Source organism: Homo sapiens, chromosome 15 (genome assembly GCF_000001405.40).
Source record: "Homo sapiens chromosome 15, GRCh38.p14 Primary Assembly".
Taxonomy (NCBI): Eukaryota; Metazoa; Chordata; class Mammalia; order Primates; family Hominidae; genus Homo; species Homo sapiens.
In genome coordinates this window covers 58,526,265-58,546,296 of record NC_000015.10, presented here as the reverse complement: position 1 = coordinate 58,546,296, position 20,032 = coordinate 58,526,265, and the positions used below count along the sequence as shown (strand labels likewise).

Here is a 20,032-nt window from a genome sequence, read left to right as displayed (position 1 = left end):
ACTCTCAGAAGAGCTGGTACCCCGGGAGAGGGTTTGCCTGGGCACATGGGGCTGGAGTGAGAAGTGGAGGTTCCTGTTGGTGCCCTCTGTTCATCCTCAGGGCGTGGCGTTGGCCTGTTGCCAGGAGTGGCCTGCTGGGGGACAGGCACCCTTGCCCACTCCAGCATTCCTTCTCTCTGGGTGGGCTTGGTGACCATACACCCTGGGCCCCTATCCTTGCTGAACTCTTCCCTGAGTCCCGTATGTTGGTAGATTCCGCTGAATTCCAGAGGCCCCATTGAAATGTAGGCCGGTGCTCCCGGCCCATGACTTCATTCTCACCATTGAAGCCGTGCTGGGCAATATGTCTGTAGAGCTCTAGGAAGTGGCAGCCAGGCTGGAAGGAGCCCCCGTTGGGATAGAAGTCATAGTGTCCTATGGGCTGTTTGATGCCCACGCTCAGGCCCATGTGCTCCCGGGTAAAGGTATGAATGGCATCCACAAAATTGGCATCATCTGGAGAAAGACGATTGCTGGGGGCACTTCCCTCAAACAAAGGTCCCGCGGCATCCAGCCCTAATGGGAAAGCAGGGGTAAGGGTTACGCAGGAGCAAGGAGAGGGGAAGAGAGATGTGCTTTTTAGCTTTTGGATATTATTATACATCAGTGAACTAGCAGGAAGAAGAAACACGTAGGGCTGATCCTTCCCTAGAAAACCTCGCCGTAACCTTTTCTCAGTAAAACCACAGTAGTTCATGGTGCTAACAATGACACACAGGCTGGGCATTAGCTAGCGGGGAAAGAGGTTTGCGGAAACTCTCCAGTGGTAGACACAAGGTTATGATGCCTGAGGCCAGGAGGCCTGGGCAGCATAGTGAAACCCCATCTCTAAAATAAAAAAGAATACAAAAGTTATGTGGATGTGGTGGCCTGTGCCTGTAGTTTCAGCCACTCAGGAGGCTGTGGCAGGAGGGTTGCTTGAGCCCAGGAGTTTGAGGTAGCAGCGAATCATGACTGCACCACTGTGACCCAGTCTAGGCAACAGAGGGAGATCCTGTCTCAAAAAGAAAAAAAAAAAGGAATAAGGTTATGAGGGAATGCTTGATTTACTTGAGCAAATCAGTTTTGAGTACCTCTCAAGCTACTTTCAAGACCATCTGTTTGCATACAAAAAAAGCCAATATGCTCATTATAAGTAGTTCCAACCTACCTATCAAAGAATGAAATTTATTTGCCTGTATGTTGTCAATAATTTCCCTAAACAAGCTGATTTTTCTCCTAAGATGTCATTTCATTAGAACGTCCAGAACAGCCGCGGGACATTTCACTGTATGTGAAAATGTTGTGTGCAAGTAGGGGAGCTCAAAGCTCTGGGCCTCAAGTGACAGATGTCTGTGCATGAAGTAAGGTGGCACCTCCTGGCTGACTGTGGTTGGGGAGTATTTATGCGCTCCAAGTTTTTTTTCCCTGTCTTTCTTCCTCTGCCTTCTCTGGAGGACCCTCTGGTGTCCCACCCCAGCCCTGGTTTCCTTCCCTACTTGGGGGGCGAAGGAATTGAGAGTGAGCCGTGAGATCACCCGTTCTCCAGCCCTACCCACAGTGACAAATGAAAAATGTCCTTGGCCGGGTGCGGTGGCTCACGCCTGGTAATCCCAGCACTTTGGGAGGCTGAGTCTGGCAGATCACCTGAGGTCAGGAGTTCGAGACCAACCTGGGCAACATGACAAAACCCCGTTTCTACTAAAAATACAAAAATTAGCCGGGCGTGGTGGTGGACACCTGTAGTCCCAGCTACTTGGGAAGCTGAGGCAGGAGAATCACTTGAACCAGGGAGGTGGAGGCTGCAGTGAGCCAAGATCATGCCACTGCCCTGTAGCCTGGGCAACAGAATGAGACTCTGTCTCAAAAAAAAAAAAAAAAAAGAAAGAGAAAAAGAAAAATGTCCTGATATGATTTCTGTTCCTTTCTTTATCAGGCTGATGACAAGACGGCAAGAGGGTGTTGAGCTTTCCTGCTGTCTCTGAGGTGGGTGGGCCCAGCTGATACGCCTAATGTGACCCACAGCACCAGTTGGATGGAGAGGGTTCTGGGCCTTGGGCCTGAGGCTGCCTCGCTGGGTGTGGACTCTGACCTCTGGCCCTGCTTCTTCAGTGGGAGGGCTGCTCATCCCCAGGCTATTGTGGGTTAAATCCATGGGGGCCACACGCCGGTCTGTGACCAGGCTTCCCCAGTGACCAGCAAGATGAACAAAAAAGCATGAGGAAATGAGCTGTCATAATCACAAGTGTATTCTGTTGAAACGTCTGCCATTATCCCCATTCTTTCTCAAGTTAAAAGAAATTCTTTTATAAAGGAATGGTAATAGCAGATAGTAGTTGTTTGTAAAAATGTCCTCATGGCCGGCCGTGGTGGCTCACGTCTGTAATCCCAGCACTTTGGGAGGCCGAGATGGTGGATCACCTGAGGTTGGGAGTTCGAGACCAGCCTGACCAATATGGTGAAACCCCGTATCTACTAAAAATACAAAAAAATTAGCTGGGTGTGGCTTAGCTACTCGGGAGGCTAAGGCAGGAGAATCGCTTGAACCCGGGAGGCAGAGGTTGCGGTGAGTTAACATCATGCCATTGCACACCAGCCTGGGCAACAAGAGCGAAACTCCGTCTCAAAAGAAAAAAAAATGTCCTCACTTGATAAAATATAAATTCGCAACAACTTTGTTATTCATGTAAAATGCTCTTTGTTTTGGCCTGTGAAATATTGTTTGAGCCTGCTGGGTCTTGAAGGATGAGGAGGAGTTTGAGTGGCTGAGTGGTGGGCAAAGCAAACAGTGCATGCAAAGGCCCAGAGGCACAAGAGGCCATGGTGTGTTTGTGAAGTAGAGAAAAACCTTGTGTCGTTGAAGCCTAGAGCTATGGGAAGGGATCAGCAGGAGGAGAGGCTGGGGCACTCTGGGGCTTCCACACCGAGAAAGGCCTTGCCTGTGCCTCCCGGGTTTTATACCTGTGGTATCAGTGGGCCTCAGACTTGGACTGGGGAACAATCTCACCAGCTGTGTGTTTTTGGATCCAATGCCTGGCAGTGTGAAGGGTGGGGTTGGTGTCACGGAAGCCTGGGAGGAAGGCCTTCCTCGCACATGTGCAGACCTTCCTGGATATCTTGGGCCATTTCTGAGTGTGTATGGAGTTTGGGGTGAAGTTTTGGATGCAGAGCTCCCTCCCTCAACCCAAATGGGTCCCAGACTAAAACATACACGTTTCACAAATGTGGAAACGGAGGCACTAACGTGGCTGATGAATTACAGCAAATTAAGGCTGTGATTCTTCACTCCTTAACTCGCCCAAATTGGACTTTGTAAATTATAGATTAAAAAATAAGACTCTTTCTTGCTAGAAAAGTCCATCTTTTAGTCCCATTTGGCACACCAACATGAGGTATTCGTTTGAGGGCAGGCAATAGGAATTGAGGCTATAATTTGCTCTGAATTCTCTGGAACAGCAATCCATGACATTGGTCATGTTTGAAAGAATGTCACAAGTCCTCTCATGAGCGCTGATCCCTCACAATAAGTGTTGGGGTGTTTTAATGATGAGCCTGTTGGAAAAGCAGGTCCTTGTTGGATGCCCCTATGGAGTGGAGATCAGTGTGTGAGTTATTAGGCATGGTTACCTGTGATTCTCCCAATCTTGTGCGTTCCACCGATGGAACTGCCGGCAAATCCTGACACGTGTGCACCCAGGCTGTACCCAATTAGGTGAACATGGCTTCGAGAGAGTTGCACAGATTCCTGGAAGACAGCAGCGGGATGGGGGCAGGAGAAGAGCTGCCTGGATGAAAGCCTTTTGCGGTCCAGTGTGTTGTGGCGCCCACCCTGTTCTTCGTGCCTGCTCAGAAATGAGGTGCCTTATTCACACTCCAAACTGAAACTAATCTCTCAACTGGCTGACTCTCCTGGGACTCAGGTACCTGTGACCTCGCCTTGTAGCTGCAGCCTCCTGCCTGCCTGTCTTCCCCTGGACACTAATGCCCTACAGAAGTGATCCCACTCATTTGTGTGGGGGCTTGATAGCTTACAGGGTGTGTTTGTATCCCTTAGCATGTCTAAGGGGGTGAGCATAAGAGGAATAGTGGATGAGGAGAGGGGAGAAGGTGGTTCTGTGAAACAGGGGTTCAAGGGAGGCGTCTGAGAGAGCCCTGGGGTCTGGTGTCAGTCCTGTGCCTTCTCATTCCTGTGAGCTGAGCATTAGTGCTTCTCCTGCCTGGGCTGCTGTTGGAGACCAGCTTAATTCATTCACTCTCAGAGGAAGGGAAAGGAGGGAAGGGAGGTGAAGGAAGGATGGGGCAGGTCGGTACCTCCAGCCACCGGAGAAGAGCCGCGACCTCCTTGCCCACAAGGCGGGTGTTGCGGACGGCGATGGTGTAGTGGTCGTGGGCCAGGGTGATCCAGTCCACCAGCCCCACGTTCACTGGCTGGGCCGGCTGAGACTTCAGCGCGGCCACCATCTGCCAGATCCAGTTTTCTAGCACGCCGTCCACCTGAGGAGGGGACAGAGGGAGGGTCGCACTAGTTTCCTTTCTCCCCGCTCACCCTTCTTCCTTCTCCAGCTCCTGGATAATGCTGGAGGAAGGGCTTGCTATGACGTTTCTCAGCCATGCACAGTTGACATTTTGGGCCAGAGAATTCCTTGTTGTGGGGGCTGTCTTGGGCATTGTACGATGTTTAGCAGCATTCCTGGCCTTCACCAACTAGATGCCAGCAACACCCACCCACTGCCCCAGGTTTTGAAAACCAAAAATGTCTCCAGATTTTTCCAAACGTTCCCCCCCGCCCCCTCCCGAGAACAATTATCTTAATGTTTTTCCTCTTAGGGACTTTCTAAACCTTAAAACAGTGGAGAAATATGTGTAAATCAGGTCCTGGAAGCTGACCTGTCCCTTAGGGCCATTTGTACGCCTCCTTCTGCGTGCAGCTGCCCCACCTCACCCCTAAACCCATAGCACTGGCTCTGCCCTGCAGACTGCGTTATGCTGGACTTAGCGGGATGGGCACTGTGAGCCTGACATAGTAGGAGGTAAAAAATGTTTACAGAGAATTGTTCTGTGTGTGTGCCTTGTTTGAGAACCAATTTGCAGGGCACTCCTAATGGATTTACAGAGCAAAGACACTTGTGCTGGGCCTTAAAGGATCAATAGGAGTCCAGTAAGACGAATATGGGTGGGGGCTGGGCGCGGTGGCTCATGCTTGTACTCCTAGCACTTTGGGAGGCCAAGGCAGGGGGATTGCTTGAGCCTAGGAGTTTAAGACCAGCCTGGGGAACATGGTGAAACCCCATCTCCACAAAAAATACAAAAGTTAGCCAGGTGTGATGGTGCATGCCTCTAGCCCCAGCTACTCCAGAGTCTGAGGTGGGAGGATGGCTTGAGCCTAGGAGGTCGAGTCTGCAGTGAGCTGAGATCACACTGCCCTCCAGCCTGGGCGATAGAGTGAGACCCTATCGCAACAAAACAAAACAAAGAAACAAAAAGAATACAGGTGGGCAGGTGAATGTGGTAGTGGTGAGGTCTAGGGCATCCCAGGCAGAAGGAACAGTGCGTGCAGAGTCACAGAATCATGAAAGGGCAGTGTGGTATGTCAGGGGAGAGGAGGAAAGTTGGTGAGGTGAAGGCTAGACAATAGGAGGTGAAGGCTTGACAATAGCGGGTGAAGCTGGAGAGCTCCCCTGAGGGCCTGTCATGCCATTCCAGGGTAAGATGCATTCCTTTACTAGATATTTACCAAGTGCCTTCTATGTGCATGGAGCATCTTGGGTTCAAATCTAGGCTCTCCTAGTTTCTAGCTGAGTAACCTTGGGCAAGTTATTTTTCTCTGTGCTTCAGTTTTCTCACCTGGAAAATGGGGTTAATAATGCTCTCCTTCCAGGATTGTTATGAAGGAGAAATACGTTAATAGATCTAAAGCGCTTAGAGCAGTGTCTGGAACATAGTAAGGACTCAACAAATGTTCGTTACTGCAGTTGTTGTTGTTATTAATATTAGCAGTAATAGGAGGAGGAGACATATACTAGGTTGGACAGAATTTTGATAATGAAGAGTGCATTTTGGTAAAAGCATCCTGGTAAGAGGCTCCTGTGGTCCTCATGTTGCATTTATAAACAAGACTCATTCATTTGATCTTTAATTCAGTTAACAAACATTTTGGAGCACTGATTACATAATGGATAGTGGCCCACAGTAGTCTATTAGATGAGAATAGGACAGAATCCTTCCCAGGGAGAAGCTTACGGCCTAGCAGAGCAGAGAAACACAGACAATTAGAAAGCCGAGCTGCAGAGCAGTGGTGGAGAGTGCTCAGGGCCACACGGGAACTCCCGGTGACACTGAATGCCCTGTGGGAGTGCTGGGATGAAGGCAGCAATGGCTTGCAGGAGGACCTGTTTGGGACTGTGTCTTACAGGAAAAGTGGGAGTTAATCAGGAAAAGAGGAGGAGAAAGAACACTCTAGGCAGAGGGCACAGACTAAGCCAAGACCAAGAAGAGAGAAGGCAGGTGCATGGGGTGTGGAGGAAGCTATTAATACAAGCAGTTAGATGTTGCTGGAACGTCATGTGGGAGGCAGGGAGAGGTGAGGGGAGGCAGGTGATGGAAGGGTTCATTTTCCTCTCCAGGATAGGATAGATGGGGGTTTCAAGAGTACTTTTCAACTAGATGGCAGGGAAAGGTTTCTAAGTCATGAAGTAGACACCAAAATCTCTGGAGGGTTCAAATTGTGAACTATGCTTGAAATCATGGGTGGGCTAGACACTGGGGAGGCAGGATTTCCTCTTGGAGACAAGTTCTCACATGGTTTGACTTCATCTATTGCCAATAATATCCTTTCTCTCCTTCTTCCATAGTAATAGAATTTTTAGCATCACTAAAAGGCTACATTTTCTTTAACAGCCTATACTTCTCAGCCACCTTTCCACTTAGATATGGTCAATGGATGTAACTGGGAGAATTTCACAGAGGCTCTGGGACACCTAAAAAACACTCTTTTATACCAAAAGCCATTGAATTGTGTAAACTTGAAATGGATAAGTTGTACGCTTTGTAAATTATATCTCAATAAAGCTCTTGTAAAAACCTTGCTTTTGACTCCTTTGTGTACATCTTTTACTACATTGTGCTTCCTGGAATAAAGATGTGATGGCTAGTCCTCTAGCTGCCATCTTGGACTATGAGGATGAGGGTCACACCCCAAGATGGCAGAGCAGTGAACTGGAAGGAGCTGGGGCCTGGAGGACTTCACTGACCAAAGCTGTCTAGCCGGTTTTTGGGTTACATATATCTTTGGAATATTTTGCGAAATGAAAACAAATTTCTGTTTTCTTTGAACCACTGCTAATTTGAGTCTCTGTTATTTGCTGCTGAACTTAAACCTTGCTGATACAACATTTCATTGGGAGTCCATTCTTCTGGCTTCCTATGTCCCCCTGTGTGTAACATGCAGATTCAGGAAGGAGGCTTCTTCCTGCACGGACTGCAATCCCTTGTGGGCCCCAATGGGCTGTGTGGCCTCTTTGAGCCACATTCTATCTGAAACATGGAGATAATTATATTTTCTCACGCTGCTTACTCATGGAATCGAGATAATCAATGAGCTAATGCGTGGGGAAGCACTTGGAAAATTAGAACGTGCTTCATAAACATTATGCATGGAGTTGTTATCACCAGCTCCCTATCTTTTTATGAACATGAACACGCTAGAAAGAAAAAAAGAAAATGTGAAATCGGAGAGAAAAACGGCATGTCAGCATTTCCTACCGACCACCCGTGGATTATCATCACCAGAGGCAGGGAGGAGTTGAAGCCGCACTCCTGTAACGTGTCCGGATGATTGATTCGAATCTGACAGCCCTGATTGGTTTCTCCAAAGAGCAGGAATCTGGTCTTCATCTCATGCAGCGTTTTGTTTGTTTCAACAGCTTGAGCTCTTCTTCCAAATGGCTCTGCAATATAAGATTGGGGACGGTGCTTAGCCTGGCATCTGCTTCATCTGAAGCCCTCCGTCTTCTCAAAGGCTGCTTCTACAAGCACAAGCCAAAGAGGTTACTGGGAGATGCTGGAGATCAGAATGAGCCACAACTGTGGGGAGCCCCAAAGACTGTTTCCAGTGGAATGGCCAAGTGATGGAGGGTGGCCTAGGAGGTTGAGATCACCAGATCCTCTAGCCTGTTATCCCAGTGACCAGCCAATCAAGCACTAGAGTCACCCTCTAGGTCATAAGGAATATAGGCAAGGCAGTTTTGGAGGCTCGGTGGATAAGCACCTCACCCCAAATCACACTGCCAAAAACTGATAGAGACAGGATTTGAACCCAGGTGTCGCTGTCTCCAATTTCATCCCTACATCCCTACCTAGAGAGACAGTGAATAGAGCATCTTAGCTGGGTGACACTATGTATTAGCTCCTGAGGCTCAACTTGTCCTCACGTGCAGACAGATTATATCAGGTAAGCCTTGCAGGGACAAGGTACAGGGGTGAGTGTGGGGCAGGGTTGGGGGAATCACAGAGGGAGTAGTGGATGCCGCTTGAGGGAGGGTGTGGCATTCAGGGAGGGCTTTTCAGGGAATGTGATGTTGACCCTGGCCTTGCAGGATGATTGAGTGTGTGTGTGTGTTTTGTTGCGGGGGTCAGGGGTGGCTGAGGGAGCAACATGAGTCGAGGCTCACAGGCATGCAACCTTGCATACATAAAGAGGCAGGAGACAAGGCCAGGCAGGCCAGAGCATGGAGGGCCCTGGGATGCTGAAGAGTCTGGCTTCATGCTCCAGATGCCAGGCTGCTGCTAAAGAGTTTGCAACAGAAAAGAGTAGAGGAATGTCCATTCGGAGGCTTTCCAAGGCCGTGGGAGGTGGAAAAGGAGAGGAAGATTGTTTTTAACATATCACCTTCTGTTGTTTGACCGAAGGGCCTTCCAGCCTCTCTTCTGGGGGAGCCTCACTATGACCATGAGCCACTTTGGAGGGGTGGGTGAGTGGCCATCCAACTCTGCCAGGCAGCCCGACAGCTGTCCTGTCTGTGGTGCTGCACCAGAGACGGACACCTCTGCCAAGAGGCCTGGTAGAGCCTGGCAAGGTGGCGCGTTTCCATGGCGTGGCATGTCAAGATGGGCGCATCTTTTCTGCCAAGATTAGGGATCAGGCCAAGAGCTGGGAGAGGAAGCTCTCATCCCTTCCTTCTGGTAGAAGGTGGGCTCCCCTGCGGCTGAGGAGCAGACACAAGGCCGCTCTGACCTTTTTGGTCAGTGAACTCAATTCAGCCCATTTAATAAGGACCCTGATCATTCTTTCTGAGAATAAAATCATTCAGGCTTCTCAAATAATATGTCTTGGGCTTTTGGTTTCAGGGGACAGCAGGACCAAGAGATGATGAACCTACAAAGTGCAAGGGGAGGTGTTAATGAAACCAATTTTCCTACCCAAAGGGTATTAACTCAAAAGGTTATTAATTCTCAGCAAAGGGCAATGATTTTTCACTATGAAGACAGAATGAAATGCATCATATTTTATTAAAAGGAGGTGTGAGCAAGAATTTGAATAACTTTTCTGAGATAATGAAGAAAATTTCTGCCGCTCTCTTTGGCTTTTCTGAGCTTATAGAGAGTCTCAGCTTGCCCTCACTCCTGGAAGCCTGCTTCCAACCTAGCCTGCTGATTTCACTGGCTGCCCTCCTGTCTAAGTCAGAAGCCGGGGTGTCACCTTGCACTGCTATGCCAGCTTCTCGATCAGTCCAAAGCTTCAGGTTTCCTAAATATCCCTAGAATCCTGTGCCTTAGTTCCCGTGCACACTGTGTCTTGCTTGGTTTATTACAGCAGCCTCCTAACTGGTCTCTCTCTGCTTGGTCTCTCTGTCCTCCTGCACACAGCTGCTCAAAGAGTCTAAAACAGAAATGACTATACCTGTTAGTGACTTTCAGCTTCATGGTATTGCAGCCAAGGCCACCACCTGAGTGATGATCCCTCATCCCCCACCTCCTCCTCTCTTTTCGTTCTCCTGCTACCAACAGTTCCCAAATGCCCTTTTGGATGCCGGTACCTTTGCACCTCACCTCCTGCTCTGTCTCTGCTGCTCCATTCATTAAAATGGAACTGAGACTTCACAGCCTCCAGGAAGCCTTCTCATCTAGTCAGAGATAATTACTCCTTCTTGCTCTCAGCACCGTACTGCCTCCCTGATCCTAATACACTTGCCCTGCAGCGGGGTGATTTATTTATCCAGGTGTGTGCTTCCTCCACCTGTCAGCGAACTCATGGAGGGTAGCCCTGGGCACAATGGTGGGTGCTCAATAAATGTTAGTGAGCGGTGAGGTGTCCTGCCAGATCCAGATCTTGGATCAAAGGCTGGCACTCAATCTTCAGCCATTTATACATTGGACCTAATGTAGCTCATTTTCTTTTATTCAGAGACTGAAACACTACACCTTTCTTCATTTTAGGATAGCTGCCTCAAATGTTAAGAGGGTCATATGAAAATAAAATGGGGATAAAAATAGTGCCTATCTTATGAGGTTGTTAGGAGGATTAAATAAGATATTTGTAAAGAGCTCAGAACAATGCCTGACATGTAATTAGAACCTAGAGAAGAGAGCGTTGTTAGAATAAGTACCAATTGGAGCATCTAGCATCTTACATTTCTGATCAGTGAAATCCTTTCTTTCTGTGGAAATTCACCCCAGTTGTCCTCATAGGACCAATTCTGTCTTGTGTATATTTACTCTGGATTTAGCTGTGAGATACGCTCCAGCCCAGGTGGCTGAGGCTTCGAGGCTGTTCAGGAGAGACCATGGAAAACAGTTGTCAGATGGAAAGCCCCACAAACAACTGGACTGAACAGGGCCCTCTCTTTTCTCCCTTCCCGGAGGCTTTAGCTCTCTTTAACATGTGTATGAGCGAGGAAGCTGTATACTGTATACAGGTATGTGCTCATTCATTTATTCACTTCCTCAACAAACACTTATTAAGCATGTATTATGCCCCAGGCCCCCTGGCTAGGTACTAGTTGGAGGCAAAGACAGCATGTGGCTCCTTTCAGGAGTCCCCAGCCCCATGGTGGGGTGGGGGATGCAAGCTTGAAAAGCAACTATTAAAAGTGGTTGCTGTGTTGCAGCGGAGGAATGCCCTGCGTAGGGGCTTTAGGGAAGAGGTCGAGAGAAGATAAAGCATCAGTCAAGTCTAGATGGAGGAAAGACTCTTTAAGAGCTCATATCCACGAGCAATTGTTAAAGAAAGTGGGGCTCTGGTGCCTATAAAAATAAGATTGGGAGGATGACATGAGAGTTGAAGGGCTGTTGTGGAGAAGGTAGACTAGACTTATTTTGTGTAACTTCAAGAGGTAGAAACAAACAGAATCACTGGGTGGGCATGACATGGAAGAACATTTTTAACTTGAAGTAGTTGGCAAAAATTCATAGTTGAAGAACTTGGGACAAAGAGAAAATAAGGGCAGTAAAACAATAAAGATAGGAATGTCAATATTAACACCCAAAAATGTACACTATGTGATCTTATAAGGCTGCTGAAGATGGGCCACAGATTTTTTTCTGAGCTTCTTTTTGGCCACATCAAAGAGGGAAGCGGGATCAGTTATAGCATTCCTGGTGGCCAGGCACTCACACTTTTTTGGTCCTGAAACCCAAGATGGTTTCCCTATGTGTTATTGAAAAAGGAGGTTACAAATATATAGCAGCAAGTTTTATGTGGTTAACTCTGAGAGCCCTGTAATCTTCAGTGAAATAGCAGCCACAGCACCAAATAGCGTTTAAGTCACCGTGAGTCTATAAGAGATTCTTCACTGTAATTGAGCAGCAGCCTCTAGGACTGAGGGAGGCAGGGGCCACTTCAGGTCACATTTAGGGGTGGAAGGAATAGAGCCCTGAAGCCCAGGGGTCTGAGCCTCCATGAGATCAGAGTCTGTCGCTTATTCCTAGAACACTTAGGACACTTGGGCATCCTAAGGGAAGCCCGTGGCTTCAAGGACTCACTGCTGTGCCCACCCTCATACCTTTACTGCAGTTTCTTCCTACAAGTTTTAGCTTTGCACATCACCAGCTCTCGACTGGGCATCTTTGCCTGGGTACTCTTTGGGCACTACAGACTCAGCAAGGCCAAACTAAATGTATTTTCCTTCCTCCCAACCCATTCTTCTTCCTTTCTTCCTACGTTTCCTATTGTGGTTCATAACACCGTCATTCATCTCTATGCCCAAGGTGGAAAGCTTAGAGCTTATGCCCTCTCTTGCCTCTCTACTGGGTCACCAAATACTGAGGACTCAGGCTCAGAATGATCTCCTTTGTCTGCCCAGTGGCCTACTGTATGTCCTTAGCCTTTTTTTTCCCCTTCAAATTATAGTGTTGCAATAGACTTTTAACTGTTTCATATTTTATTTTGCTTTTTGTAGAATTAAGGGATGCTCATTGTATGTATGCTGAAAATATATTTCAGTATAATTTGAAAAGTGCTGAAAAAATAAAGAATATTATTATTTAGAAAAAAACACAAATAACATTTGGAGTATATCTTCATAATGTTTTCTTATGGAGATATTTGTTCCATAGATTCTTATTTACAGTGTGTATAATTGAGATCATGTTACATAAATGGTTTTAAATCCTTCTTCACTTATCATTATCATTTTCTCATAGCATCAAAAATTCTTCAAAACGTACTTGGAAAAAGTGCCGTAATTTATTTACTTATTCCACTATTGTTGAAAATGTATGCTGTTTCAAGGTTTTATTTGCCCTATTACAAACAATTCTCTGATGATATTCTTTATGTATAAATATTTATCGGAATCTATTAGTATTTTCTTAGTGTAGTTTCCTAAAAGTAGAATCAGTTCCTTACGTGTGATCCTATTTATATCTCTTTATATATACATATATATTCAAATTGATCTTCAGCATTTTTAAAAGCTGATATATATTGAATGCTTTCTCTGTGCCAGGCACTTTTCCAGCAGTCTTATTTGTATTGACTCATTTAAACCTGGCCACTCTATGATAAGCTGTGAGGAAAGGATATGCTTTAGCTATGAGTGAAGAAATTGGTTCCATATTGGATAAGCTAGAAGCAGCACATTCTCCAAGCATACCTTCTGAAACTGGAGCTTTTCTCATGTCTTCAGAAGAGGTAGTCACACCAGTGATAAGAATCTGGGGATGATACTGTGGTTTTAGGAGGAGGAATATTAAATTGAGGTAAGTGATCAAATCCATCAAGGGATTCAGCCCCTGTATCCAGGAAAAGGGGTTGATGGACTAGGGAGGCTTGGGGTTGTCCTCTGTATGACAGTAAGTTCCTAGAGCAGCAAAACAATCCTTAAAATTAGTTAGAAGGAGAAGCTGGGTCCAGCCATTACATTTCTAATATTATTTCTTACAGCAAGTGATTTTTCTATTCCTAGTTAACTCCTAGGTTTGAGGGTTCCTGATATTTCATACAAGAAGAAATTATTTCATTTTCTTTTGGGTAAGGACATCAGCAGATGGGTGACTGCAGGCAATTGAGGTGGGGCACCTTCCATGGGAGAGAACCAGGGATTCTACCATAGGAGGCCCGATTGGAGTCAGGATCTGCCTCCCGCCCATGATGCCTGGGCTAGAAGCTGTTGCTCAGTTCAGTGTTTGTTGAGCCCTTTCCATGTATTGGCTGGTACTGGGCACACAAGTGCATAAGAAAGAAGCCTCGGGTATTGCTATGCCCCTCACAAGGTTTTTCATACAACATGCATTATTTAATTTGCTAATGTGTGTGTAGGGGGGCTTTTGCTTTGTAAACATCCACTGCTGAAAATATTCCTAGACCTGGCAAGGGTCCTCTGGAAGACCGAAATTTCATAATTGCCCTGAAAACTCTCCAGGCCATGTACTCTGCTCAGGATGGAACAATCCTATGTAATAAATGTAACCGCAGCTCTGTCCCTGGCTTCTGTGGTCAGGCCAATGATCTGTAGCTGGGCAATGTTGGCTTCAGAATTTCTTGCACGATGGAAAGATGGAAACATTTGTGTGGGAATTTAGTCACTGCTGGACCTTACAGATTCAGCTCCTAGCTGTTGCTGAGCTTTGTCTGGAGATAAGCAGATTCTGCCCAAGGCCATGGTGAGGAATGTTTCTCCCACTCCCACCATCTTGAATTTTGCCCTGACCTGGACACCTGACCCTCCCATTTACTTTTTTCTTGAAAGTAATTCTGTGTCTCAATTTCTGAATGTGCACAATAGTTACTAAACTTTGTATTGTCCTTCACCTCTTGTGACACCCTAGCATCACTTCACTATAATGTCGAACCTCAATTACCCAAGGTATAATTCACTCCTAAGGAGTGAATGAGGTGCTTTGTAAAGCCGTGGTAATTTTTCAGGTCATTAAGATATTGTTTTGAACTCAGAAGAAATTCCTAAGTTTGTCTTGAGTGGGTTTCTTTTCTAGCTATTCTTTACAAATAGCTTTAGGTTTAAAGCTGCTGAAATTAATTTATTACATTTTGGAGGTTGCCATCTTCCCATCATTTTTTGCATTCTTGTTTCACCTCTTCTTTGTTGTTGTAGTTGCTCTTTACTATTTTTTTGTCAAATAAGAAAATGAGATACGGGATGGAAGGAAAGTTATTTTCATGTCTGATTTATTCTGGGGTTTTTTTTTTTTTTTTTTGAGTCCATTTTGGCTCCATACTACTGTAGCCTGAGGCCACAACTTCTTCTTTTGTGGATCCCAGGGAAAAAAGTAAGTAGAGTCTTTTTTCTTGCCAAAAATTTTTTCCTTCTAAACTTTTCTCTTAAATTCTCTTGAATTCTACTGCACTTCAGGCTAGAATCAGAATGATTTTTTTCTTTTAAGAAATCTGGTTATGAAAGAGTATGCCATTCAGAAGAGCTTTCCGTTTGTACTGGAATCCTCTCTGGGGAAAGTGGGGCTTGCTTCCCTAAAGTCCTTCCGAGGTCATAGGCACATTCCACCCTGTGTAGGTTCAAGGTAGGGTGAGAGAACTGAACAGATATCCTTAAAAGAAGATACACAAAGGGCACATGTGTACAAGAAAATGTGCTTAACATCATTAGTCATGGGAGAAATGCAAATTTAAAACACAACGGAATATCACTTCTCTCCCTTTAGAATGGCTAAAATTAAAAAGACTGACAAAACCGGGTAGAACTCCTCATAGATTGCTGGTGAGAACAAAAAATACTTTCTTTGGAAAACCGTTTGACAAGTTCTTTAAAGGCAAATGTACACTTACTATAGGACCCAGTAAACTTCAAGCGTTTACTCAAGAGAAATGGAAACATATGTCCACATAAATATTCAAATGTTCATGGCAGCTTTATTCATAATAACCCCAAATCTGAAACAACCCAAATATCTATCAACTGGTAAATGGATAAACAAATTGTCGCATATCCATCCAATGGAATACTACTCAGCAGGAAAAAGGAACAATTGCTGACACATGCCAGAACATGGATACATCTAAAATGCATAAAGCTAAGTGAAAGAAGCTAGATTTAAAAGGGTACAAACTGTGTGATTCCATTTACAGGACGTTCTGGAAAAGCAAAGCTATTGTGATTGAGAGCAGATCAGTGATTTCCTGGGTCCAGGGAATGGGGTGGGGATTAACTAGCAAAGGGCAAAAGGGAATCTCTAAAGAGAGATGGAAATATCCTACATCTTGATGGTGATCATGGTTACACAAGTGCACATTTAAAATGATTGTTGGAATACTGCACTATAGTCAAGCAATAATGTGGTTTCTCCACATTGCCCTTGATCCAGGTTGAGCGGCATAGGCTGCACAGCAGGCCTTCTGTGGTAGTTACTTGCATAAGTCAGGGCTGGGCCTGGCTGCTCCTGGTTTGCAGGCCTGAGAGGACAGGCTGTTTCTGAGTTTTCTGGAGGTTGGGGTCAATTGGCAGACATAACTCCAGGACTGACTTTGAACCAAAAGACCAGGTCGGGGAGGGAGCCAGCCCTCATGGAGCAGGGTCTCAGGGAGACTTGGCATGTCCGGAAGGTCTTCCCTGATTCCTTCAGGCCGGAGATGGCCAAGGGTTCCCTGGGGACTACCCTGTGGAGGCCAAGTTGTCCAGCAAGAGGGTTAGAAACACAAGGCGCCTGGAGACCATGCAGCGTCGCTGCACCCAGCCTGCATTTCAAACAACCTGTACTTATTGAGGAAAAATTCATTTTCCTTCTCTTATCAATCAAGGATATAGGTAACACCACCCATCTACACTTCCAGTTCTCTGGCGAGAATCCGTTTTACCACACCAAGTGGATAGAATTCCACAGGTAAGCAAACCAAGTCAACATTCAGTTGTCCTGTGCGATATCTTTTACGATGTGTTGGAAAATAGCTGGGCGATGCCCTTCTCCCACTCCAACCACTGCTCCCCAAGGACCAGGGACCTTTTATTGGTAGTGATGATCTAGTCTACCTTCCTTATGTCACAGTTGAAGAAACTGGGACCCAGAAAGGCCACCTGACATGCCCCAAACCATGCATCCAGGTAGAAACTCTGGGCTCTCCTGACATTCAAGCCAGCATCCTTCTACTGTGCTGGAGGACAGAGGTTCCGACCCTCTTCCCTGCCATGTTCTAGGACTCTTCCTATCTCTGTTAAAGCTCAGAGGGCTTACATTCCATGCCACATAAAGGCCGATGCCTCCAAATAAGGCCTCTGATCGGCACAAGAGGAAACAGGTCTTGAATCACAGAAGACAGTAGACTGGGTCTTGAATCACGGAAGACAGCTGACTGGGGCATCCTCTTGTCTATGGAAAATACCCCGAAACAATTGGGGTGACCAGGGTAGTAAAAACAGAGTCCCATGACCTTCACCCTTCAAACACCTGGCAGAGCTGCTGTCTGCTGGTGTCATTCTCAGACTAGATTTTTTTCTTTCTCTCCCAGAGGTAGCACTAGGAGAATCCTTACCCAGCTAAGGGGGCTGTGATGCTGGCATCTGACCACGGTTAGGCCAGGGAGGCTCCCCAGGAGCTGGACAATCACAGGCCCTTCAGCTGCTCTTGCCATGAGAGATCTTGGCTTACAGTCAAGTTGCCAAGCGCTGTTTTGATTGGCAAATTAATCCCATTGTGTTCTTGTTCCAAAACTTTATTTGATATATCATGACTATCTAGCTCCTGGCTTTGAGCTTCATTTGACCTTATCCTTCATTCCTGTACCAGACATAAACTACACAATTGCCAAGTGAAGCTTACAAGGAATAGAAGGAGGGGTGGGGGCAGAGGACCTTCGACATCACAGTCAAGGGATCTAGGAATATGCAAGTCCTGTCTCAGCCCAGAGCCACCTACCTCATGAAGTTACTGCTGGAGACAAGGATCCTGGGTGCCCTGGCAGGTAGGGACAGGCACTGCTTTAGTATTGGCAGTGATTGTACCTGTAAAAGGAAAATCAGGGCCACTCCGTCCTCCAGGTCAGCTGCCAGAAGATGAATTGGGTGCCTTATACTCAGTGAGAAAAGAAGAGAAGATTGCTGCTTCCTTTCCAGTCTGGACCCGTGGATGGAAGAAACTCAAGTTGGGCCCATGCCCTGAGCGTGGCTTGTTACTGCACAGCAGAAGCGGTTAGGAGCTTGGGCTCTAGCTGGGTATGGTGGTGCGTGCCTGTAGTCCCAGCTACTTGGGAGGTTGAGGTGGGAGGATCACCTGAGCGAGGTCGAGACTGCAGTGAGCAGTGATTGTGCCACTGCACTCCAGCTCAGGTGACAGAGCCAAACCCTGTCAAAGAAAAAAAAAGGCACCGAGCTCTGGAGCCAGATTGCCTGGCTTAAATCCCAGCTCTGCTACTTATTAACTGTGTGACCTTGGGCTAGTTATTTAACCTCTCTGTGTCTCAACTATATAATAAGACTAACAGTAGTACCTACCTTATAGGATTATTATGAGTGACAGATATGTGCCCCTGAGACGTGTTTTTAGGCCGGATTTAATCATGCAAAAAGAAAAGTGAGAGTGAGAGCAGAGGTGACCTGGGAACGCCTGGCTGTTCTGCAGGAATGTTCCCCTCCCTGGAGCTGGAATCTGGGCAAAGATAAACGCTTGCAGCATGAGGAAAGCATTAAGCATTAACTTGGCCAAACAGCCCAAGGTTATTCTTTTTTTTTTTTTTTTGAGACAGAGTTTTGCTCTTGTCACTCAGGCTGGAGTGCAATGGGGTGGTCTCGGCTCACTGCAACCTCTGCCTCTCGAGTTCAAGCGATTCTCCTGCCTCGGCCTCCCGAGTAGCTGGGATTACAGGCAGTAAACCGTGGGTGGGGAGTGTGGGCTGAAAGCATGTTGGATGTGCTCTTTGGGGCAGAGGTTTGGGGGCTGCCTGATGAGAAAATGGGCCTGATCTAGTCCTTGAACCTCCCTAGGGCTTCCCCATGTGCGGACCTGCGGCTGAGAGGGCTGGCTCTTGGGTATGCTTTTAGAGACTGAAGGCCCACCCTGATCCCATTCATTCATTCATTCATTCATTAATTCATTTATTCATTCAACCACACATTTATTAAGCACCTACTATGTGTCAGGGATTGTGAATACACTGTGATACCTAACAGTGAATAAGACAGACCATGCTTTCAAAAAGCTCATGGTCTTATGGTAGAGGCAAGTAAATAAACAACTGTCACACAGTTTGGAAAGTGTTGTGTTGGCCGAAGAATAGGAAAGTGCCCACCCAGCCATAAGGTGGCTGGTGTAAAGGCAGCCAGATGAACTCCATTGGTGGGTGGTACCGCCAGCTCCTCAGATAATCTTGGGAATTTTAATCAAAGGCTGGCCCTGATGGGAGGGAAGGATTATGAAATGTAGGGGGAAGGTGAGCTTATGTGTGGCCAATATGGTCACCTCTAGACTCACAGAGGTTGAGGTCATGGCTGCAGCATGCACCCTGTGCCCTTCAGCTTTCCTGAGGCGCTTGGTGACTCTCATCTTCTTTGAGACTTGCCTGACCCTGGGGTCTGCAGCACAGCGGTTCCTATCCTAGGCATGTTAATTTCCTCATGAAGAAATAAGGAGGGGTTCAGTGACTGCCAAGGCCCACAACTGGCTAAAAAAGCAAACCAGGACCAGAATTCGATTTCTCCGCACATCTAAGTTCTGAGACTATAAAAGTTTTCTGGGCATGTGCACTATTTCCCCTAAGATATTCTTTTGGACCTGTATCCTCCCTTCACCACCCATATCTGGAGGCCCAGCTGACTGCTGCCTGCCCACTTCAGACCACGGGCAGGTACCCGACAGTTTCCAGGTTGCCATAGGGAGCAATGGCAGAGGCAGGGTAGTGGAGTGGCCAGTGGGGCGGGCACTGGCTTTGGAGCCAGTCAGTTCTGTGTTTGATTGTTTAACACTTATTAGCTGTATGGCCTTGGGAAGCTTGCTTAACCAGTAGGAGCCTCAACTTCCTTCTTCTAAGTTGGAAATAGGAAGACCGTCTTGTGTGGGTGGTAGTGAGGATGAACGAAGTTGATGAAATATCTAGTCCAGGGGTTGGCATTCAATGTGTTGTTTCCCTTTCCAAACTTGCCTAAGATCTCTTCCTTCTCATGTCTCAACCCAACATAGTTCCTTCCAGATATTTGTGGGTACTTATCCACCAAGGTCTTTGCCAGCCTATTTGGTACCTCTCTGTGAATTCTGTGCACCTGCTTTAGGTAGCACACTGCCTTAGCTGTGTAGCTTGGCGCGGTGCCTTTGTGCCAAGAAAAGGAGGCCCCTCCTTGGAGTGAGGATTTCAGCCTCCCATCTTCCATTTGGCCAGGTTGTTCTGGGCAAGAGAAATCTACTGGGCTTAGGTGGCAGCTCTGGAGCCTACTTGGCTGAGTCCCTACCTCCACCAGCTAGGGTGCTCCAGCTGTGGGATGCTCTGTCTGAATCAGGCACCTCGAGGAGCCAAACTAGGCTACCGGTTAACACTCTCTGCTAATGAGGAAATCAGTCTGACTGCAAAACACTCCAGCCAGGGTTCTGCCCTTACACCACTGCTAAGGAAACACTCATCCTC

General features: G+C 46.8%; 1 protein-coding gene across 1 annotated transcript in view; it reads right to left on the bottom strand.

Annotated features, from left to right (window-relative positions):
• The window catches only part of LIPC (lipase C, hepatic type), a 137,854-nt gene that overhangs the window by 23,548 nt on the left and 94,274 nt on the right, over window positions 1-20,032 (bottom strand). The window contains exons 2-5 of the mRNA NM_000236.3: window positions 7,780-7,964; window positions 4,330-4,512; window positions 3,646-3,763; window positions 322-555 (exon numbers count right to left, since the gene is read on the bottom strand). Coding sequence (NP_000227.2) covers window positions 322-555; window positions 3,646-3,763; window positions 4,330-4,512; window positions 7,780-7,964 — 720 coding nt within the window. The remainder of the gene's footprint in view (window positions 1-321; window positions 556-3,645; window positions 3,764-4,329; window positions 4,513-7,779; window positions 7,965-20,032) is intronic.